This window comes from Homo sapiens, chromosome 2 (genome assembly GCF_000001405.40).
Source record: "Homo sapiens chromosome 2, GRCh38.p14 Primary Assembly".
In the NCBI taxonomy this organism is placed as follows: Eukaryota; Metazoa; Chordata; class Mammalia; order Primates; family Hominidae; genus Homo; species Homo sapiens.
Genome location: NC_000002.12, coordinates 230,411,254 through 230,434,219, shown reverse-complemented (window position 1 = coordinate 230,434,219; position 22,966 = coordinate 230,411,254). Strand labels below are relative to the sequence as shown.

The 22,966-nt window shown below is 40.7% G+C and overlaps 1 protein-coding gene across 6 annotated transcripts in view, besides 4 other annotated features; it reads right to left on the bottom strand.

Moving 5' to 3' along the window:
* Positions 1 to 18,019, bottom strand: part of SP100 (SP100 nuclear antigen) — a 129,406-nt gene extending 111,387 nt beyond the window's left edge. For 4 of the 6 annotated variants that reach the window (NM_001080391.2, NM_003113.4, NM_001206701.2 and 1 more), the window contains exons 1-2: positions 17,892 to 18,019; positions 16,555 to 16,629 (exon numbers count right to left, since the gene is read on the bottom strand). In NM_001080391.2, the coding sequence (NP_001073860.1) occupies positions 16,555 to 16,629; positions 17,892 to 17,923 (107 nt within the window). In that variant the 5' untranslated portion in view covers positions 17,924 to 18,019. Of the gene's footprint in view, positions 1 to 16,554; positions 16,630 to 17,338; positions 17,465 to 17,891 lie in introns of those variants that run through there. The other 2 variants (NM_001206704.2, NM_001206703.2) reach the window with 2 other exon arrangements.
* Positions 17,853 to 18,372: an enhancer, noted in NCBI's record as "active region_17222". NCBI's record gives its function as "activates an Ori minimal core promoter by ATAC-STARR-seq in GM12878 lymphoblastoid cells {active_cell/tissue: GM12878}" and the evidence as "EXISTENCE:reporter gene assay evidence [ECO:0000049][PMID:35858748]".
* Positions 21,665 to 21,714: an enhancer, noted in NCBI's record as "active region_17221". NCBI's record gives its function as "activates an Ori minimal core promoter by ATAC-STARR-seq in GM12878 lymphoblastoid cells {active_cell/tissue: GM12878}" and the evidence as "EXISTENCE:reporter gene assay evidence [ECO:0000049][PMID:35858748]".
* Positions 22,015 to 22,284: a silencer, noted in NCBI's record as "silent region_12410". NCBI's record gives its function as "represses an Ori minimal core promoter by ATAC-STARR-seq in GM12878 lymphoblastoid cells {active_cell/tissue: GM12878}" and the evidence as "EXISTENCE:reporter gene assay evidence [ECO:0000049][PMID:35858748]".
* Positions 22,375 to 22,464: an enhancer, noted in NCBI's record as "active region_17220". NCBI's record gives its function as "activates an Ori minimal core promoter by ATAC-STARR-seq in GM12878 lymphoblastoid cells {active_cell/tissue: GM12878}" and the evidence as "EXISTENCE:reporter gene assay evidence [ECO:0000049][PMID:35858748]".

Sequence of the window (22,966 nt, the reverse complement as noted above, 5' to 3'; positions counted from 1 at the left end):
AGTCATAGTTTTGTTGTTCAGTGAAAACATCATGTTTAGATCAATATATTATGATCTAATTTTTATATAAATTAAACTAAAAAAGTCTTTCATTTGTATATAAAATTCAGAATAAATGTTAGGGAAGGCATGGAACCACTACACCCCAGGTGTCAACACTGGCTTAGTGGACAGTTTCAGGGTTCTAACCAGGTCCCTTCAGATCTTTCTTTTACCATTTTTTAGGTAATATCAGAGAAAAGAAATAATACAGTAAACAGAACAAGATTTTGAGTAAGTATATTTAATAACCCCATAACTTATTTAATAATATTGAGACCTAATAAGTTATGGGGTTATTAAATATACTTACTCAAAAGTCTATGACTCAATATTAGGTCAATATTATTCAATAATATTGAATAAGTTATGAATAATATTCAACCAACTAGGAAACTTAGGAATTTAAAAGTCGAGTTTGCAAATTCAAAAATAAAGGTAGGCAAAATAATAAAACATTTAAAAATAAATTGAACAAACAGAATGCAAGACTTGTATGTTGAAAATGGCAAAACATTGATGAGAGAAATTAAAGATCAAAATAGTGATGCCAATGTTCATGGATTGAAAGACTCAATATGTTTAACATGGTAATTCTCTCCAAATTGATCTAGAGACTCAGTATGATTCCTATCAAAATCTCCAATGGCCTTTTGCAGAAATTGAGAAGCTGATCCTAAAATTTACATGGAATTGCAAAGAACCCAGAATATCCAAAACAGTCTTGAAAAAGAAGAAAAAAGTTGGAAGACTTATACTTTGTGATTTCAACACTTACTATAAAGCTGCATGAATCAAGACAGTACTGGCATAAATATATATAAAAATCAATACAACAGAACTGAGAGTGCAGAAATAAATCCTTAGGTTTTTGGTCAATTGATTTTCAACAAAAGTGCCAAGGCAATTAAATGAGGAAAAGATAGTCTTTTCAACAAATAGTACTAGTATAACTGGATAGGCACATGCAAAAATATGAAATTAGACCCTTACCTCACACCATATGCATAAATCAACTCAAAATGGATCATGCATCTCTAAATGTAAAAGCAGGGATGGCTTTATGGGCATGCATCCTGTGCAGTCACAAAAGACTCTGTGCTTAGTTTAGTGTTCTGCTTTCACTGTTTTGAAATCCTTAATAATTTTTGAACAAGGATCCCCCCATTTTCATTTTTCACTGCGTTTCCCAAATTATGCAGTAGTCTTGTAAAACAGCAAAAATGATAAGACTTTTGGAAGAAAACACAGGAAAAATCTTTGTGACTTTAGGTAAGACAAAGAATTAGCTACCACAAAAGTATAATCATAAGAGAATAAATGATGTTAAAATTTAACAAAATTTAAATCTTTTGTGCCTCAAATATACCATAAAGAGAAAGAAAAGATTAGTCACAGTCTGGGAGAAAATATTAGCCAATCATATTTTTAATAAACTACTTGTATTCAGATATGTAAAGAATTCTGACAACTCAATAAGAAGACAAGCCAATTAAAAATGGACAAATGATTTGAACAGATATTTCTCCAAAAGACATATGAAAAATAAAAACATGTGAAAAGATGTTCAGTAGCATTCATTATTAGAGAAAAGCAAATCAAACCACAACAAAATACCAAAATATATTCACTGGAATGACTACAAAGACATAAAATAACAAATTTTAGCAAAACTTGAACCCTTATACATTGCTGTAAAATGGTCTTTCGGAAACACTGTAAGACAGATTTGAAAAAAGTGAAACATAATGCTACTATAGAACCCAATAGTTTCACTCCTAAATATCTACCTAGAAACGAACATGTATATCCACACAAAGGCTTGTATGCAAATACCCAGGACAGCATTATTCATAATAGTCAAAAAATAAAAACAATCCAAATTTCCATTGACTGGCAAATGAAAAAATACCATTGATAGAGCCATATAATGGAATACAATTCAGCAAGAAAAAGGAACAAAATATAAACACATGCTAAAACATGGATGAACTTCAAAATATTACGTTCGATGAAATAACCCAGATGTAAAAGACCGTATAATATATGGTCCATTTACATGAAATGGCCAGGAAAGGGAAAACTACAGAGATAGAAAGTATATTGATGGTTGCCTAGGGCTGGAGAATAGGAGCAGGAATTGATCCCAAATAGTCATGAAGAAGCTTTTAAGGGTAGTGAAAATATTCTACACTTGGATTGTGATGATGGTTGCACAACTCTGTAATTCTGTTAAAAATCATTGAGATACACACTTAAAACAGGAGAATTTTACAGTATGTAAATTATACCTCATTAAAGCTGTTAAAAAATAAAGGTGGGTGTGCAGAATAGACTCAGTTGAAGAGTAACTTAGTGAGCCACATTTTTCTTTCTGGAATATAGGCAGGGAAAGATATGGAAAATGTGAAAAAAGAAGGTTAAACTGCATAGGATGTTTCAACATTCTGCCAAGGGGAATTCCAGAAGAGAATAGAAAGAAAGAGAATAGGGAAATCAAGTAAAAAAAAATAGTCTTCCAGAGCTGAAGCTAGAACCTTAGATTTAAAAGGCACATCCAGGATGGGATGTCACTAAGATGGCAGAATAGGAGGTTTCTGGCTTTAGTCTCTCTCACAGAAAGACTAAGTAGCAACTATCCATAGACAAGGATGCCTTTGTGAAAATTTCAGAACCCAAGAGTGAAGCTGAACCACCTCCCTTGGACCACAAAACCTGAGAAAAACCACATTAGAAGGGGTAAGAGGAATGGATTCACTTTGACTGTGTTGCTCCTACCCCAGGCTGGCACAGCACCACACCAAGAGGTTTTCCCTGAGCCTAAGGTTTCTCCAGTGGGGAAAACAGAGCCTGAGGAGGACACCCAGCTTCCCTGGCATTCTGGGCTGCTTCTTAGGAGGCCCAATTCTGTCTTGCCTCATGGGAAACAAACAGGAAATCAGAGGGGCTGGACCACCTGGGTTTGATTAGAAATGAAGAAGTGAGGGCAGGGCTCACAGTGGCCAATGCAGAGATTGTCATGCTGGTACTGTGCTCCTGACATCAGCACCCTATCAGAGAGCTCAGCCAGCAGCTCTGTCCACCTGCAGAGGCAAGCTGGTGGCCCTATTTGGCCAGGTAGCATGGTCAGCAGTTCTAAGTAGCTTGGGTGCCTAGCCAGCAGCCCAGCCCACCTAAGACGTTTAGGTTTCTGTCTTGCCTGACCAGGGAACCCCCAAAGAAATTCTGCCCAGCCTCAGATCCTAGCATATGTCTTTGCCCAGGCAGGTAATCAAGCCAGCCACCCTGCCTAACTACAGAGTATGGTCTCTAACCCTGTTAACCAGGAAGTCCAAATTGAGACCCTGCCCAGGCACAAAGCCCAGCCAATGACCTGCATGGGCAGGAAACCAAGCCAATGACCTCTCTCAATGGTGGGCACAGCTTTGGGGCCCCAAGCAACCAGAGATCCCAGCCTATGGCCATGCCCAGGCAGGGAGTAGAACAAGTCACCCTGTCCAAATGTAGAACGTAGCCTGTGGTCCTACCCAATCACTCAGCCCAGCCAGTGACACTTCTGAACTGTGGGGCACAACTTGCAGCTTTGCCTGAACAGGGATTCCAGAAATTTATGCTACCTTCCTGATGAGCCCAGCTTGTAGCAAGGACCTAAGGGAGGGGCATATTCTGTGGTCCCACTGAACCTGGGCACCTGGTAGCAACTCTGATAAAGTTTGAAGCACAGCCAGTGGCCCTACTCTGGAGAATAACTAATCCAGTGGCAACACCCAACTGTGGAACACAGTCTTCAACCCTGCCTAATCACAGAGCCCAGCCTGTGACCATACCTAACAGTAGCTTAAGGCCTTGTCCCATCTTAGAGCCTGGCCGTTAGCCGCTGCCCAACAAAAGGGTCCAGTCAAAACATCCAAACAACCATAGAGAGCAGCAGTGGCCTTACCCAACCTCAGAGCACAGGCAATGATCTGACCCAGCTGGAGATCTCAACAGCAAGCTCTGCCTGTCCATGGATGCTACCAGCTGACCTGCCCAGAACTCCAGGCTGGACTGACTAGTGAAGGGCTTTCCCTGCCGAAACAAACTTATAAAGCCTGGAAGAGGTTATTGTTTCCTCAAATGTGCAGACACCAATGATAGGATGCATGGATCATAAAGAATCAGGAAAAAATAATATCACTAAAATAAACGAATATGCTCTAATAACTGACTCTAAAGAAATAATAATCTGTGAACTTACTGACATATAATTCAGAATAATTCTCTTTAAAAAGTTCAGTGAACTATAAGTAAACACAGATAGACAACTCAACAAAATTAGAAAACAATATATAAACAAAATTATAATGCCAAAAAGGAACAGGAACCATTTTTAAAAAGCCAGAAATCCTAGATCTGAAAAATACAATGACTGGATGGAAGAATTTAATAGAGAGCTTTAACAGATGACTCAATCAAGCAGAAGAAAGACTAAGTGAACTCAAAGATAGGTCATTTGATATTATTTACTCAGAGGAGCAAAAATAGCAAAGAATAAAAATGAATTAAAAAAAGCCTATGGGATTTATGGGACACCATCAAGTAAAACAACATACAAATTATGGGAATTACTGAAGGAGAAAAGAGAGAGAAAATGAACAGAAAGTACATTTAGAGAAGTAATGGCTGGAAACTTTCCACATTTGGGGAGAGAAATGAACATCTAGATTCACTGGGCTGAAAGGTGCCCAAGCAGACTGAACAATAAAATTTGACATCAAGAAATATTATAATTAAATTATCAAAAGATAAAGACAATATTTTGAAAGCAGCAAGGAAAATATAACTCATTACATATAAGAGAGCTCTCATAAGACTAGCAGCAAATTTCTCGGCAGAAACCTCCTCCTCTCAGCCCAGGAGAGATTAGGGTGATATGTTCAAAATGCTGAAAGAATAGAAACTCTACTGACCAAGAATGTTATACCTGGTAAAGCTGTCCTTCAGAAGTGAAGGAGAGATAAAAACCTTTCCAAACAAACAAAAGCTAAAGGAATCCATCATCACTAGACCTGTCTTGCAAGAAATGCTAGAGGGGTTCTTCAAGCTGAAATGAGATGGTACTAATTCACAGCATAACAATATATAAATATACAAAATCTTACCAGTAAAGGTAAATATACAGTCAAAGTCAGAAATCTCTAATATTGTAATGATTGTGCATAAGTCACTTTCAATTCTGGTATAAAAGTTAAAAAACAAACTATTAAAAATAATTATATCTATAGCAATTAATATAGTTGGCTCCATGTCCCCACTGAAATCTCATGTTGAATTGTAATCCCCAGTGTTGGGGGAGGGCCCTGGTGGGAGGAACTGGATCATGGGGGTGCATTTCCCCCTTGCTGTTCTTGTGACAGTGAGTTCTTATGAGATCTAGTTTAAAAGTGTGTAGCACTTCTCGGCCAGGCGTGGTGGCTCACGCCTGTAATCCCAGCACTTTGGGAGGCCGAGGTGGGTGGATCATGAGGTCAGGAGATCGAGACCATCCTGGCTAACACAGTGAAACCCTGTCTCTACTAAAAATACAAAAAAATAGCTGGGTGTGGTGGCGGGCGCCTGTAGTCCCAGCTACTCGGGAGGCTGAGGCAGGAGAATGGCATGAACCTGGGAGGTGGAGTTTGCAGTGAGCTGAGATCGCGCCACCGCACTCCAGCCTGGGCGACAGAGCGAGACTCCGTCTCAAAAAAAAAAAAAAGTGTGTAGCACTTCTCCCTTCAGTCTCTTTCTCTTCTGTCACCATTTGAAGACGTGCTTGCTTCCCCTTCGCCCTTCCACCATGATTGTAAGTTTTCTGAGGCCTCCCCAGCCATGCCTCCTGTACAGCCTGTGGAACTGAGTCAATTAAACCTCTTTTCTTTATAAATTACACAGTCTCAGGTACTTCTATTTTATTTTTTATTTATTTATTTTTTTTGAGACAGAGTCTTGCTTTTGCTCTGTCAACCAGGCTGGAGTGCAATGGTGCTATCTTGGCTCACTGCCTCCTGGGTTTAAGTGATTCTCCTGTCTCAGCCTCCCGAGTAGCTGGGACTACAGGCACATGCCACCACGCCTGGCTAATTTTTGTAGTTTTAGTAGAGACAGGGTTTCACTATGTTGGCCAGGCTGATCTCAAACTCCTGACCTCAAGTGATCCACCCACCTCGGCCTCTCAAAGTGCTGGGATTACAGGCGTGAGCCACTGCAGCTGGCCTCAGGTAGTTCTTTAGAGCAGTGTGAGAATGTACTAATATAGTAATTTGTTATTGGAGACAGAATATAAAAAGTATGTAAATTGTAACATCAATTGACTGAAATGTGAGGGAGGGGAGAAGTAAAAGTGTAGAGTTTTGTATGTGTTTGAAGTTGTTGGCTTAAAATAGGATGGTATAGCTATAAAATATTTTATGTAAGCCTCATAGTAACCACTAAGTAGAAACCTGTAGTAGATAAGATTAAGAGAAAGGAATCAAAGTATATCATTTCAAAAGTGATCAAATCACAAAGGAAGGCAACAAGAAAAAAAGAAAGAAAAAAAGTACTACAAAGCTGTCAGAACACAATTAGCAAAGTGGCAATAGTAAGTTCTTACCTATCAATAAATGAATTAAATTCTCTAATCAAAAGAAATAGAGTGACTGAATGGATTAAAAAAAACCCCACAATATCAAACAATCTGCTGCATAGAAGAGTCTCATTTTAGGTTGGGCGCAGTGGCTCACACCTGTAATCCCAGCACTTTGGAAGGCCCAGGCGGATGATCACTTGAGGTCGGGAGCTCGAGACCAGCCTGGCCAACATAGTGAAACCCCGTCTCTACTAAAAATATAAAAATTAGCCGGGTGTGGTGGCAGGTACCTGTAATCCCAGCTACTCGGGAGGCTGAGGCAGGAGAATTGCTTGAACCCGGGAGGCAGAGGTTGCAATAAGCCGAGATAGCACCACTGCACTCCAACCTGGGTGACAGAGTGAGACTCTGCCAAAGGAAAAAAAAAGAGAGAGAGAGACTCCTTTTAGCTCTAAGAACACAGGTAGGCTGAAGGTGAAGGGATGAAAAAAGATATTCCATGCAAAAAGTGACCAAAAGACAGCAGAGGTGACTATATTTATACCAAATGAAATATACATTAAGTAAAAAATGGCCACAAGAGATACAGAAGATCAATATATAAAGATAAAGGGGACAGTTCATCAAGAGGATACAACAACTGTAAATATTTTTGCATACAGCACTGCAACATCTAAATAACTAAAGCAAATACTAACAGAACTGAAAAAAGAAAGAAACAGCAATACAATGTTAGTAGGAGACTGTAATACTCCACTGTCAATAATCATAGATCAATCAGACAGAAAAATATAAGGAAACATTGATCTTGAACCAGACTTTAGATCAAATAGACCTAACAAACATATATAGAACACTTCATTCAACAGCAGCAGAATACACATTCTACTCCAGTGTATATGAAACATTCTCCAGGAAAAAAATCATATGTTAGGCCACAAAAGAAGTCTTAACAAATTCAAGAGTGAAATCATATCAAGTGTCTTTCCTGGCCACAATATTATGAAACTAGAAATCCATAACAGGAGGAAATTTGAAGAATTCATAACTTCTGTACGGAATATATAATGTAAGGACATTAAACAACACATTCCTGAATAACCAATAGATCAAAGAAGAAGCCAAAAAGGTAACATAAATATCCTGAGGCAAACAAAAATGAAAACACAACATAGCAAAACTTAATGAGATGCAGGAAGAGCAATTCTAAGAGGCAAGTTTATAGCTATAAACACCTACATTAGGGAGAAAAATCTTAAACCATTTAGCTTTACAGTTGATGAAGAAAGATAAGGTAAACTCAAAGTTAGCAGCAGAAGGGAGAAAATAATGTAGATTAGAGCAGAAATAAATAGGTAATAGGAAAACAATAGAAAAGATCAACAAAACTCAGAACTTGTTCTTTGAAAAGATAAACAAAATTAGCAACTCTTTCACTAAACTAACCAAGTTAAAAAAGAGACAAGTCTCAAATAAATAAACTTATAAATGACAGAGGAAACATTACAACTGATAACATGATAATGCAAAGAATCGTGAGATTACTATGAACAATTATACATCAACAAATTGTATAGCCTAGAAAAAATAGATAAAGTCCTAGAAATACACAATCTATCAAAACTGAATCCTGAAAAAGCAGATAATCTGAACAGACCAATAATGAGTAAAAAGATTGAATAAGTAAACAACTTTCCATTAAAGAAAAACCAGTTGGCTATGCTAGTGAATTCTACCAAGCATTTAAGAAGAAACTAATACCAATCCTTCTAAAACTCTTCCAAAAAAAAAAATTAAGAGCAAGGAACAGTTCCAAACTAATTTTATGAGCATTACCTTGATACCTAAGCCAGATTAGTATACTACAAGAAAAAAAAAATTACAGGCCATTTCTCCAGATATACATAGATGCAACAATTCTCAACAAAATACTACCAAACCAAACCAAATTCAACAGTACACTAAAATGATCACTTACTATGATCAAGTGGGATTTATCCCTGGGATGCAAGGATGATGCAACATGTAAATCAATAATGGTGTTGTGCAACGTTAACAGAATGAAGGACAAAAATCATATGAACATTTTAATAGACACAGAAAAAGGATTTGAAAACTTCAGCATCCTTTCATGATAAAAAACATTTAACAAATTGGGTATAAATGAAATATACCATAAAGGCCATGTATGACAAGCCCATTGGTAGATTAGATTCAGACCGAGGAATCTAAAAAAGTTGAATCATAGAAACAGAGGGTCAAATAGCAGTTGCCAAAAGCTTGGAAGTCGGAGGAATGGGGAAATGTTGGTTAAAGGGCACAGACTTTCAGTTATAAGATGGATAAGTTCTGGGTATTTAATGTGTAGTATGGAAACTATAGTTAACAATAATGTATTACATATTTGAAATTTGCTGAGAGAGTAGATCTTAAATATTCTCATCACACACACGCAATGGTAACTATGTGACATGATGGATATGTTAACTAACTTCATTGTGGTAATCATTTCACAATATAAACATATATGAAATCATCATGTTTTACACCTTCAATTTATACAATTATACCTCAATAACACCAAAAGAAAGGTAATCACAACTAAATATTTTAACCTTAGGAGACTTTTAAATTCAAGCAATTATATCATGGTCTGTGTTCCTAAAGTACTGGATTGTTTTTACACATTTAGATGATTTCTGTAGGACGACAAATTTGAAGTTTTCAAATAGGGGCTACATTATGCCCCTATTACCATAAAACTTCCCTGGGGAAACCTCCCACTCCCATCACGGACCTGACACCACAGCAGTTCCAAATTAACCATATTTAGTTAAGAAAATGCTGGCACCCCAACTGGGAATTGCCCACTCATTACCCAGAAAATCCCTTCCCTGCTCCACCCCCACTTTTTTTTTTTTTTTTTGAGATGGAGTCTCACTCTGTTGCCCAGGCTGGAGTGCAGTGGTGCGATATCGGCTCACTACAACCTTCATCTCCTGTTTTCAAGCAATTCTCCCTGCCTCAGCCTCCTGAGTAGCTGGGATTACAGGTGCCTGCCACCACGCCCAGCTAATTTTTGTATTTTTCAGTAGAGATGTGGTTTCACCATGTTGGCCAGGCTGGTCTTGAACTCCTGACCTCAGGTGATCCGCCTGCCTCAGCTTCCCAAAGTACTGGGATTACAGGCCTGAGCCACCGCACCCAGCCAATCTCTCCTCTTATTATGTAATATTCCATGACTTCATTATGCTTATCCATATAGCATGTGAGCTCTGGCCAGGTTGGGCATGGCTCATTCTTTTGAGCATACTTGCAATCCTCTCTTGAGTGTGTATTTGCTTTTGCTCTGCAATCAATCTTCTGTACTTTCACTTTGGTCTGGCCTTCAAATTCTTTTCTGGGGCAAGGACAAGAACCTGTATCAGCCTGCTGGCAGCACCATTATTAATACCGTCATTTTACAGGGAAGAAACAAGGCTTGCCCCACCTCTACATGTATGCAGTGGCAGAGCTGGACTTCACATCACCCTTCCCCAATCATCCTAGTGTTGATCCTCCCTGCTCCTACCCTCTCTACTATCTGGCATTAGTTACTACACTCTTAATCATTGCACTATATTGCCTTTCAAATGTGGTGAAGCCTCAAAACTGATTATGCACTAGGCCACAAAAGAAACAACAATTGACTCTCACAAATGGAAATCTTAAGGAACACATTTTCTAACCACAATGTAATAGGATCAGAGTAAACAACCAAAGGACAGAGGACGACTTCCCCCACTCGTTCCACTGAGAAATTTTAAAAGCTACTCCCAAACACTTCTTAGGTTAACCAGGAAATCAAAATCAAAATAACAAATGGCTAAGAAATAAAATCCAATGAAAACACTATACGTTATAAAGGCCAAACATTTCCAAAGTGGCACAGAGATGAACATTCATGGCCTAAAATGCATTTATTAGAAAATAAGAAACACTGCAAGTAAATTAAGTTTTAAACCAACGTATTAGAAACAGAACACAAGGTAATCCCCTCAACAAAGGAGAAGTAAAGAATTAGGAAAGAAATATATAGAAAAATATAATAAAGAAAATCAAGATTTAATTAAATCTCAAACAGAAAATAAGAGTAGTGGATCAATAAAACCAAAAGGTGGTTCATTGAAAAGACCAACAAAATGGAAAGATTGATCAAGAAAACAAAGGAAAAAACAATAATAAACAATGGTAGGAATAGGAAAAAGGACACATCTTCAGAGAAGGAAAGGATTAAAACTTTATATAAGAAATTTCTATACAACTTTCTCCCAATAAGAAGAGAATCTAGGGAAATAGTTACTTTTTAGGACAATAAACAATCAAAACTGGCTCAAAGGTCAGCATAAGAACTAAAAATAACAGGAGAAATGCATAATATACTTCCAGAGCTTCACTAATCTGCTTTCTCCTAACAACTACACACACAGACATCAGTTTCAAATAATTTAATGGACAATTTTCTGCAATCTTTCAAGGAACAGATGATGTCTGTATTAAACAAATCATTCTAATACATATATGTGCATATATATAAATATATTCAAAATTTCAATCACCCTCAGTTATTTCATGAGGCTGCTATAGTTCTGCTATCAACCCTAGACAAATACAAAATAAGAAATGAAAATTGTAGGTCACAAAGTTGCTTATAAACACGTGAGGTAAAATCCCACAACAAAATATAAATAAATCCAACCCAGGAGTGGATGAAAGAGTCATATGGCATGACCATGTAGGTGTTATCTCAGGGATTCCAGGAAAGGTCACATTAGAGAACCAATCTATGCATTTGGTTAAGCCTGGCAGGTTGAACACACCTGCATTCATCTGTGTTCCTTCTGAAATCCCATGAAACCACCTATAAGAGAGAGTTAGAGGCAGAAAAGAAGCAAAGATCAGGGAATAGAAAAGGGCATCAAATAAGAGATAATCAAACATTTTGGAAGATAGGGGCATATATGGTAGCTAATTTCACAGAATGAAAAAACAAAAATCTTGATTACTTGCTTAGGGGAAGCTGACAAGGAGTAAGCCAGTGTACACTTTTGAACTCTGGAAGTTGTCAGGAATTAGAGGCACCATTCCTTTAGAAGGCGAGTTGGAAAATGAAAAATCAAAATGAGGCACAGTCAATGAGAGGCATTCCTTGCACAGAGCTCCTAATCAGATTTTTAGTGTCTCATTCCGAAATGTGAATGGACACCCAGTGGACACTTGATGAATTCTTCCAGAACAAGCAAATAATGGAGGAGGAGCTGGGAAAGAAACCTGGAAGGAACTAACACTTAAAACAACCTTGGAAGAAACGTAAAATTTAAAAAAAATTTTCATCCTCATTAGTAGAGAGAAAATTTCGGATTTCTTGAAACAAGATGCTATAAAAGAGAAACAACTTTTCAAAAGAGCTTTTGGAAATTAAAAATATAATGGCAGAAGTGTTTTAATCACTAGAAGGAATGAAGTTCCTCAGAAAATGTCATAGAAGTTAGATTCAAGAAAAGAAGACATATAAGATTTTCAAGAAAAAAAACCAGGGAGTCTCTAGAGGATCAATCTAGGAAAGCTAACATCCAACTAACAGGAATTCCAAAAGATAAAAGAGAGAGATAAAGCAGAAGGGAGAAACTATTCAAATAATATCACAAGCAAAATGGTCAGAATTGAAATAAAGTTGTCCATTTGAAAGGGCCCTGGAGAGCAAAGCACAACAAATGAATTTAACACCCACATCAAGGCAAACCATCATGAGATTTTAGAATCAAGGGATCAAAGAGAAGAGCCAGAAAATTTCAGACAGGCAAAACAGGTGACATAGAAAGACAGGATCAATAATCAGAATGGCATCAGGTTTCTTATTAGCAATGCTGGAAGTTGCAAGACAGTGAACTAAATTAATTTCCAAACTCTGCATTTATACTTACCAAATATTTATGCAGTTGTGAGGATTAAGGATAAAATTTTTTTTCCAGACATGTACAATTTATATATATATATATATAGTGTCTCTCAATTGAATCCCAGTAAGGTAGGATATATATATATATATATGTATATCTTCTATAAACTCTTAGTCAGGAGGCTACTGGATAATGTGGTAAACCAAAATGAGATAGTAAAGCAAGAAAGAGGTATACATGTAATCCACAAAACAAGACCCAACACAGGAGAGATGTCAAGCTTCAAGGTCAGCCTTGGAAGCTGAAACTAACCAGAACTGATGGAATCAGGGGAATGGATAATTCCAGGAGGGTTTCCCCAAGAAAGTAAAATGGACTTGATAAATTACCCAATGTGCCTCACTGTACTGAAAAGAATTTTAGAATTCTGCAGAGTGCTTGGGAAGAATTCATAATGAGGACACACAAAATCCAAGCAAATATATAAGAGGGCAATAGTTATTTGTGGGGTCGGCGGGGAGGGGCGGGAGGATGTTGCACAGGAAAGGAAATGTAATCATAATATAGTAGATGACTTGGTTATGAACAACATGTAAATAGTCATCATAATGGTAACACTGATTACTGATGAACCTCCAACTGTGATGTATTATGAGAATGGACAGGGAATGAAAAGGAGTGTTATGGAAAAAGTCTTCATCTTCTGTCCTATTATGTGAACAGATTAATGTCTGAAACTTGAAAAATTACAAAGAGCTGTATCAGCACATCATTTCAAAATACAGAAGTAAATACAAAAGTAAGAGCCAAAAAGTTAATCCATTAGGGAAACTGGACATGGGCTGGGAAGATGGCAGAAAGTACTACTTGTGTTTTTAAAGGTCTTATTGACTGATACTTTAAGCTATATATATATATATGTTTTACTTTGGTGAAATTAATAACCGAATTAATAAAATGTTTCAATATAATTTACTGTGGATAAATCAGATTAAAAGAGAAAAATGATACAATTCTCAAAGATTCTTTAGTAGGCATTTTGATAAATATCCTATACACAGGCCTGATTAAAATAAATAACTTTTAGTAAACCAGAGCCAGCAGGAAATGTCCTTAACTTGAAAAAAGGTGTCTATAAGAAAGCCTCAATTTAAACATTATAAGTATTCCCCTTGAAATCAGGAATAAAACTAAAATGTTCATTTTTACTGTTACTATTCAGTATTACACTGGCAGTCCTGGCTAATGCGCTAAGGCAAAAGAGAAAGAAAAAAGAAAGAAAAAGAAAAGTATACAGGTATAAATTCTGAAAAAGAGGAGACAAAGCTGCTACTATCTTTGAAGATGTAATTATTTCTCCAGAAAAACACAAGACAATATTAAGAGGGAGAAGACCACTTAGTAAGACTCCTATGCACAAGATCAGCTAACTAAAATGAATAGATTTCCCTTATGCCAGCAAGAAATAACTAGAAAATGTAAAAGGAAAATGAATTCCTGTTTACAAATACAATTTTAAAATGCCTAGAACTAAAGCGACCCAACAAGGTCCCAAGTTCAAACAATCATGAATAAATGGAGAGATTTACTATGTTTCTCACTGGGGCCATTCAGGATTTTTTTAAAACATAAATTCTTCCTAAATTTATCTGTTCATTTAGTGTCTCTCAATTCAATCCCAGTAAGGTAGGTTACAGAACACTACCTATAAAATCATAGTAACTAAAACATTTCAGTATTGAAACAAGAATGAAAATAGAACCATGGATCAGATCATGGGTCACCAACGCAAATTCATATGTAAAATTTAGCACACTAGTTCCCTTCTATCCACAGGGGATGCTTCCAAGAACCCCAGTGGATGCTTGAAACCGCAGATAGTACCAAACTCTGCATATACTATGTTTTCCCCAATCTGTACATAAATTAGGCACAATAAAAGATGAATAACAATATCTAATAATAAAGTAGATCAACTATAACAATGTAGTGTAATAAAAATTATGTAAATGTGGTCTCTTTTTGTCTCTCAAAACATCATACTGTAGATATTAACAACCTCAGCATATTATTTTTTTCTTTCAGGAAATTTCACATTTTCACCTAAAGGAAGCCCTTGACGGCTTCTCTTTGGCATATCTGAATTGCCAGCATCAACCTTCTTGTGCTTTGGGGCCATTATTGACTAAAATAAGGGTTCCTTGAACACAAGCTCTGTTATACCAGGACAGTCGATCTGATCACCAGGACAGCTACTCAGCGACTCATGGGCTGGTAGTGTCTACACTGTGGATACCCTGGATAAAGGGATGGTTCACATCCTGGGCAGGATGGAGAGGGACAGCATGAGATTTCATCACACTCCTCAGAACGCCAAGTATCTTAAAACTCATGAATTGTTTTCTGGAATTTTGCATTTAATGTTTTTGGACCAAGTTTTACTGCAAGTAACTGAAATCTCAGAAAGTAAAACTGTTGATAAGGGAGGACTACTTTAGTTAATAATGGCATAAAAATATCAAATATCTATGAAGGAATCTAGCAGAAGGGCAAAACCTTCAGAGAGAAAAATACAAATTTTAATAGGAGACATTTTTAAAGTAATAATATACATAAACCATATTCATGAGATGGAAGTCTCGTGAATGTAAAGATGTCCATTCTCTTCAAATTGATTTATAGATCCAGTGCAGTTCCACACAAAATCTCGAGATTTTGACAGGCAAATTTGGGAGTCTAAGACATTCTGGAGGAAGAGGAAGAGATTTGCTCCCTCAGATGTCAAGAGTTCCTGGGAAGCTGCCATCACTATGGCAGCGTGGTACTGGCATAAGGAGGGGCTGTCACCGGCCAAGGGGAGAGAAGAGAGAACACAGAAGCACACCCTGCCTCTATACTCCCAAAAAGGGTAGCACTGCGAATCAGCAGGGAAAAGGATAATTTAATCAATCAACGGTGAACTCAGAAAAATTGATAAGAATCAAAACAAAGACTTCAAACTGTAGCTCAGACAAAAAACAATTTGATCTCAGATAAAACAGGGAATGTTAAAAAAAAAAAGAAAAAAAGTTCATCCAGATTATGACTAAGCAAACGGGAAGTTTGGGGTGACCTGCCCTGGCCAAGCCTGGCTAGAGGAGCTGTAAAGCCACCACAGGCACGTGGAACACAAGATCAGACAGAATCAGTCTGGAAAAATAACTAAGAGACAACAAGGAGAATATCCCAAAGTTCTTAACAGCACAGGCAAACCTAAATAAAGCAAGACTGTGAAGACTGAATGACAAGAGGTTATGGAGCTTGCAGGCGTACAGAAACCAATTAAGATCCCTCCTCAAAAATAAACACTATCAATTTTTAAAAAATTAGAAATGACAAGAAACAAGAAACCTACTAGAAGGTAAATAATTGTCATGGAGGAAAAGTTTGAGACAACTATTATGAACACAAAGTGAAAGACTGAAAAGATGAAAACGGGGCAAATAAAAGCTGTGAAGGCTAAAGTGGCTCCAATGTAAGAATATTTTTGTTTAAAAATTTAAAAAATTTTCAGAGATATTAGAGGAGGAACTCTTCCTGGAATAGCGGTAGCAGCGAATCTGCCACCTTAACACAGAAATAATTGTAAAAACTAAGAGTGCTCACAGAGGGTGTCAGCATCACCTCGTTTATAACAAGGGTGCATCTATCTTAAAAAAATCTGTATCACAAGAGGCCTATATGTTAAGTTTTAAGCTTTAATAAGATAAAAGTCACCATAGACAAAGGTAATGGACAAGAAAAGTATATTTATACTTACAGAATATTTAGTGAATTCTCCCATATCACGAAAAAAAGGACAAACACCTCAACGGAATCATATTGGCAAAAAACAAACAAGCAATTTATAGAAGAGGGAATTTAAATGGCCAAGAAACATGAAAAGCTGATCAATTTTCCCATCGTAAGGAAAATACAAATTAAAACAAGACATAACTCTTCATTCATCACCTTTGCAAATCGTGGCTGTGTGCAGGAAGATGGTTCATCTCATTTGCTACTGGTGAAATACATTCATTCAGCCTCCTAGAAAGACAATTTGGCAGGACCAAGTAAATAACTGGACCCTTTGCCTCAATAATTACATTTTTAAGGTTTAGAGACAAGATAAATATTTGTTTAGATGTAAAAACCCAAAAAGAAATATATAATCATTGTTATGATAGCTTATTGGTAAATGTGAACAATTTAAAAACAATCTAAATGTCCTTCAATTGGAGAATAAATAATTATCATATATCAATTCTATGGAATAGCATGTATAAAAAGAATGAGGCAGATCTATATGTATTAAGGTTAAAAGATCTCTAAGTTTTCCACTATTAAAATAAGTAAAAATGCAAAATGCAGACTAGCACATGTAATATAATTTATTATAAATCAAGAACATAAATTACGTATTTACAAAAAATGCATTAGATATATAAATGCATAGAAAAATATAAGAAAAGCTGTGCCCAAGACTCTTCACAGGACTGGGAAGAGAAGCTACAAGAATGGCTGAGTGGCAAAGATGACTTTTTCCTTAATATACTTCTCCACTGTTTTAAATTTTATGAACAATAATGTACAGTGTATTTCTTTTGTATTAAAAAATTTAAAAGATTAAGTAATGTTATTTCTCAACTCACTACTAGAGAAAAGTTAGGATTTCCTTCTCTTTTCTGGTCAGAGGTATCCCCCATCTTGGGACAGGAAATTGAGGTAAAAATGAAAATATTTAGCCGTTTGTCACCCTGGGCCTTTTTCTTCCCTTTCCTTCTTTTGATCAAGGTTGATGGAATAAGAACTCAGACCCTGAGCCAGTCATGGGAACAGCCGGCAGAGGCCCCTTGCCAGGACAGGTGAGACCACAGCGTCTGATGTTTAAAAGTAAGCCAGGTGTTTACCCTGGAGTGTTTATTTTCTAAAGCACCTTTTTTGACATGACATATTTGAAGGTAGAGGAAGGCTGAGGGGTGAAAGGGTTCACAGATCATGAGGAAATAGTTAATCCCAGCCACCAACAACTGCTATGTTTAGAGTGTCCCGGTCAGCTGAGCAGTAAATCCAAAACAAGAAAGTCACGTGTGTTATGGCAAGTTGAACTCACACCAACAGCTGTCCTGCTCCTGTTTAAAAAATCTGATTTCCTCATTACTTGTCTTTCATTTCATTATATAACATCGCATACCTATGTTCTTGCAAAGAAGGATTAAAGTGAAGCCTTAGGCACAAACTGAACTAAAGGCATGAAAGCTGCAATATAGCCAGAGATAAAGGTTAAAGGAAGGGAGATAAAGACTCACCTGGTGCTCAGGTCGCCGCCCCCACCTGCCATCTTCCCACCCTAGGCCCTGCGTGGGCCTCAGAGCCTGGCCTCTGAGCCCCTCAGTCGGCCCAGCCTGCGTGCAGTGTGGCTGCCCAGGCCCCAAGCAGGAAGTCGGCCGACAGACTGACTCAGAAAGGGCTCCGCCCAAATGGGGAAAAGAGAAGTGAAAGTATTTAACCTCCTTCTGGGCTACGGACACTGTGTTTCTCCTCCTTTTTCACTCCAAGGGATTCTCAGCTTTTCTGAAATGTGGCAGAGGGTTGGAGGAGAGGCCTGACAAGCAGCAAGACCTGCAGGACCAGGGAAGGAGGGCCCAGGGGACGAGCAGGGCCAGCTCCCGGGTGTCCACTTGTTTGTGCAATACACAGCCAAAAAAAATGTCCTTGAAACAAAATTGTCCTTAGCTGCTCTGCCCTCTAAGAGGGGGCATAGTTTACATGGGAGTTGGGGGGGAAACTCCATGTTTGCCCCTTCCCCTTGCTGACATGGCTTGGGGTGGGAGTTGGAGGGTTGGAGGGAAAGCCAGAAACCTCAAATCTTCTCTCAGGCCCATGGGAGAGCATGGACTGGACTAAGGTAGGTCCTGACATTGGGACCCAGGGCTGGAGAGAACCAAAATGCTCAGCATTATAACCTGGGGAGAGTGTGCTTAGCCTTCCTGGAAATCAGCCAGAAGTAAGAGAGAACTCTCCACACCCCTGGGACCAGAGGCTGGAGCCAGCATGGTAAGAAAGGCAAACATTTTAAGGGGCAAGGGTTTAAGGAATCTTGACTATGGGGCCGCCTTGGAACAGCCAGGGGTGAAGAGACACCTAAGCTTCGGAGAAGTCACTGGAATCTTGAGAGAACAAAAGCTTCTCATTGGAGGAGGATGGAGGTTGGAACCCAGATGATCTAGACATGGAAGGGCAGGGTGGCTCCCGCGGGAGGTTCTATCTCTGCCCAGATTTTCCATTTAGATTCTGATTCATCATTCCTCAGAGAACAAGAAGCGACCGAGAAGACTCGCTTTACATCAGTATAAAGTCATAGGTAAAGAAACAGAAGCAAAGGGCGCATGAGAATGGGGCCACAGGACACAACCAGGGACCAGAACTCCAGGCCGGACCATGGGGCAGAGACAGGGAGGCAGCTGGGAGCCTGGGGGCGCTGGAATCCAGGGCCCAAGGTGAGCAGAGGGTGGAAGCTGGTGAGGATTCAGGGGCCAGAGGGGATGGCACTTCAGAACGGTGTTTTCCAAATGGCATTCTACTGAATCCAACTTCTTCCAGCTGTGAATAAGGATGCTTGTCCAGGTACATTTGAAAATGTGGGGGAAGGGGCTTTCTACCCTCACTCTACTTCTGCTCTTCTTTTCCCCATGAGTGAATGACCAGGCACCAGGACATTGGTGAGGACAGCTTTGCCGGTGGGCGAAGGTCACTGTTTCTATCAGGCACTGCACACCTGTAGGTCTCTCTCTCTTTCTCTCACCTGTAGGTCTCTCTCTCTTTCTCTCATTCTTCCTACCCCCCATGACTCCCCGACTTTATGGGGCTGAAGGGCTGGTAAGCTGAGCCTCTTTTGGGCACAGCTGTCCTTTGATCCCAGTCTCCATGAGGCACATTGGTCCCAAGAAGTCCTGGCATGGACCACACAGTATGCTTTGGTGTGGTTCACGTTCTCCCCTCTCGCTGCCTCTGGGCAGCAGGCAGGCTCAGGCCATTGAGTGGCACTGACATAAACGTGCCAGCTTTTCCCTGGATGTGCTTAGGGGCTACTAAGAGCAGCACCTGGAATTCCAGACCAATGAGCCACAGGCTGGCAGGGAATTCCTTACGGGTTGAACTTCACGGGCAGACATGCCCATGCTGGGGCACCTCCTGGCAGCAGGGAAGGAGATGTTCTCATCAGATGAGGTTGGAGACAGATGAGCATGCACCATGCTCCGCTGGTATATGGAGAATCTGTAGGCCTCTGTGAAGAAAGCAAAGTTTCTCTGATCCAGAAAACAATGTCAGACACACTGGGGTTGGGAAAGGGACGGGACCACATTAAGAAGACATGTGAGCTAAAAATCCTGCTGGACTGTTTAGAAGGAAATAATGGAACTCCTGGGGCATTTTCCATGGCTGCAAGGAGCACAGGCAATAGGGAATATTTCTGTTGTCAAGAAGTAGTTCCAGTTACTGGAGCCTGGAAAACTCAAAAGCAGGGGAGGCAGTGATTGAGGAAGGACCACAGGCAGGGCACCCAGCCAGATGATGGGCCTCTTACATTTCACCAAGAGCAGCTTCAGTTCAGACTTCAGTGGTGTGGGTGAGGCAGGAGAATAGGGTCTGGAGGCAGGGAACCTAAGGCCATTTCATGCTAACTTCCTAGAACTAAATTGAAAGGAAAACCCTAACTTTCCATGCCTAAGTAACAAAAGGTCCAGAGGCTACTCCCTTTGCAAACCCCCACCTTTTCTGTGGGGCAATGGGAAATGGAAAGTACCTGTGTATAGTTGTTTTTTGCATAGGAGTGTAACTTTGTAACTTTACTTCAGCCTCTGATGGGTTGCTGTCTGCAACCAATCAGACTGATTGCAGGCCAAGTCTTCCTTTGCATAGAAGTACAACTTTGTAATTTCACTTTAGCCTCTGATTGGTTGCTTTCTGCAACCAATGAGATGTTTGCACAGGAGTGTGACCTTTGTAACTTCACTTCAGCCTCTGGTTGGTTGCTTTCCTCAACCAATCAGACTGATTGCAGGCCGCCACTTCATTTACATGAGGTGAGCACCAAGTGGTCAATGGGAAACCTCCAGGGGGTATTTGGACCAGAGAAGATTCTGTATGCGGGACCGTTGAATACTGCTTGGGCCTGCTCCCACACTGTGGAGTGTACTTCTATTTTCAATAAATCCCTGCTTTCGTTCTTTTGTTGCTTCATTCTTTTCTTGCTTTGCTGTGCGCTTTGTCCAATTCTTTGTTCAAAACGCCAAGAACCTGGACAACTTGCAGTCAAGACCCTCTACTGGTAACATGGTGGGGGGTGATTCTTCAACCTGGGACCCCCATGTGAGAACCAGAGGTCTGTACCTGAGATGAGGTCATTGGCATCATGGACCAGAGAGTTTCAGGGCAGGAGGCAGCTACAGGAACAGTGCCACTGGGGCATGAGAATAGAGAACCTGGCCACCCTCCAAGGGACGTAGAAGTGACGAGTGAAGGGCAGGCGCCTGGGATCTTTAGTGGGAGCACCCAGTCCTGCCGAACTGTCTCCTTCTAGGAGGTGGAACATCAATCAGTCAAGGCCCGGTCCCTTCCGGTCCCCGCCCATCTTCTAGGGGACGCTTCTCTGACTGGGAGTGGGAGTGAGCCTGCTCTTTGCTGGGTGTCCCTGGAGTCATCCTGCCTGCAGAGACCAAGACTCTGTTGGCTCCTCCAAGCTCAAGTGCACAAGGACAGGGGCCTGCATAGCGTGGGGGAGAGTTGGAACAGCCTGAGGCCATGCGGATAAGCCCAATTCTGGAGTTCAGTGTTAGGGGTCCCTTTACTGCCACATATCTAAGCCACATCCCCAATCCAGCTTTTATCCGGAATAAAGCTGGTATTTTGATCGCCGTCTGTCTCTCCATTTTGCCTATATTTCAAAGGGTTCAAGCACATGGGTATACATCTCTCTTCTGAGGTTCTTTTCTATCTGTGCCGCAGATGGGTAGAGGCTGGGGTCATAGCTCCTTGCAATTGCATGATTGTGATGCAATTATCCCCCGGGCTCAGCGGGCATTTGGTAGCAATATTTCAGCTTTTAGGAAGTTGGGTGAGACCAGGCTGGTCTGATCCTCCCTGGCCCACTCACCAGGGTCCCCTGCTCAGCAGAGCCTCAGTGACTGGCCTAAAGAGGCTATGGGTGAAGGATTGTAGGGAGTCAGAAAGACAAGGGGAGCATTGGACAACACAGGAAGTCCCTCTGGCCACCTTCTGAAGGTGGGGACCATTCATGAGAAATCCGGAGGACGCCCTCAGTCCTTGTGCAGCACCAGGAAGAAACCGACTGGCCCAGGGCCACCCCTGAGTCCGCATCATCACGCAGGGTCCTTCAGCTGAGCCCCTGTTGTATCCGCAGATGAACATCCGCAGATCCCTGTCCCCTGGTAACTGACGGACAGCACAGGGTCCTGGTGGCCCATGGACGCCACCTCATGCCTCCTTTCCGAGGCCACCTAGCCGGCGAGGCCCGCCACGGACACACCGTGAGCACGCGCAACGAGCAGGGGTCGGTGATCGCCATCCCCCGTGTCCGCCTCCCGCGTTCCCGTTCCCGCGGCCGCCCCGCGCTCCTCCGGGCTCCGCCCCCGCCCGGCCGGCGCCCAGTCTCCCGGCAGCGCGTAGCGCTGCAGCCTCTTCAGGGCTGGGCAGAAACAGAAACCGAAAATCCTCCTCTTATCGGGATTCTAGCTCACCAAACACTTCGAATTGTGTGGTAGAAGAGCCGTAGTTCCTTCTAAATAAAGTCGAACCCATGTAAGGTCTGGGTTCTGAGATCATTTTGCCCTCTGGCAGCTCACGAGCACCACCGGGTCGCCGCCTGCCCTCTGTTCAGCCCGTGAGGGGCGGGGGACTCTGCCCTTCGCTCCTCCTGGTCTCTGTCCTCTTCCCTAAGAGTTTCATTCCGTCCGGAGCCACAAGCCGCCCTGCCTTCTGCACCTCCCCGGAGGCTGAAGCCCTTAAGCCTGCCCCGCACCCTAAGGCCCTGCAGGACACTCCTGCTGTCCTTGCGGGGCACACTGATATGACTCGATGCTGAGCAGTTGAAAGGATTAAAAAATAGTGGGCAAACGGCAAAAACGGGTGGCATGGAGTGAATTAGAAGACACGAGACTTCAGAGAAGTGCGTTTCATGCACAGAAGTTTGTCAATGCCCCCCACCCCGAAACCCAGTCTCCCTGAGTGAGGGAGAGGGGGCTTCACCTTCCCTTTCGTTTCACTTTGAGCCCCAACTGCTGGACTGCAACAGAACGACCCTACAGGCTCACTATGTTTCACATTCTGGGGATTCCTGGTGGCACCTTCCTGTGTTCACCAG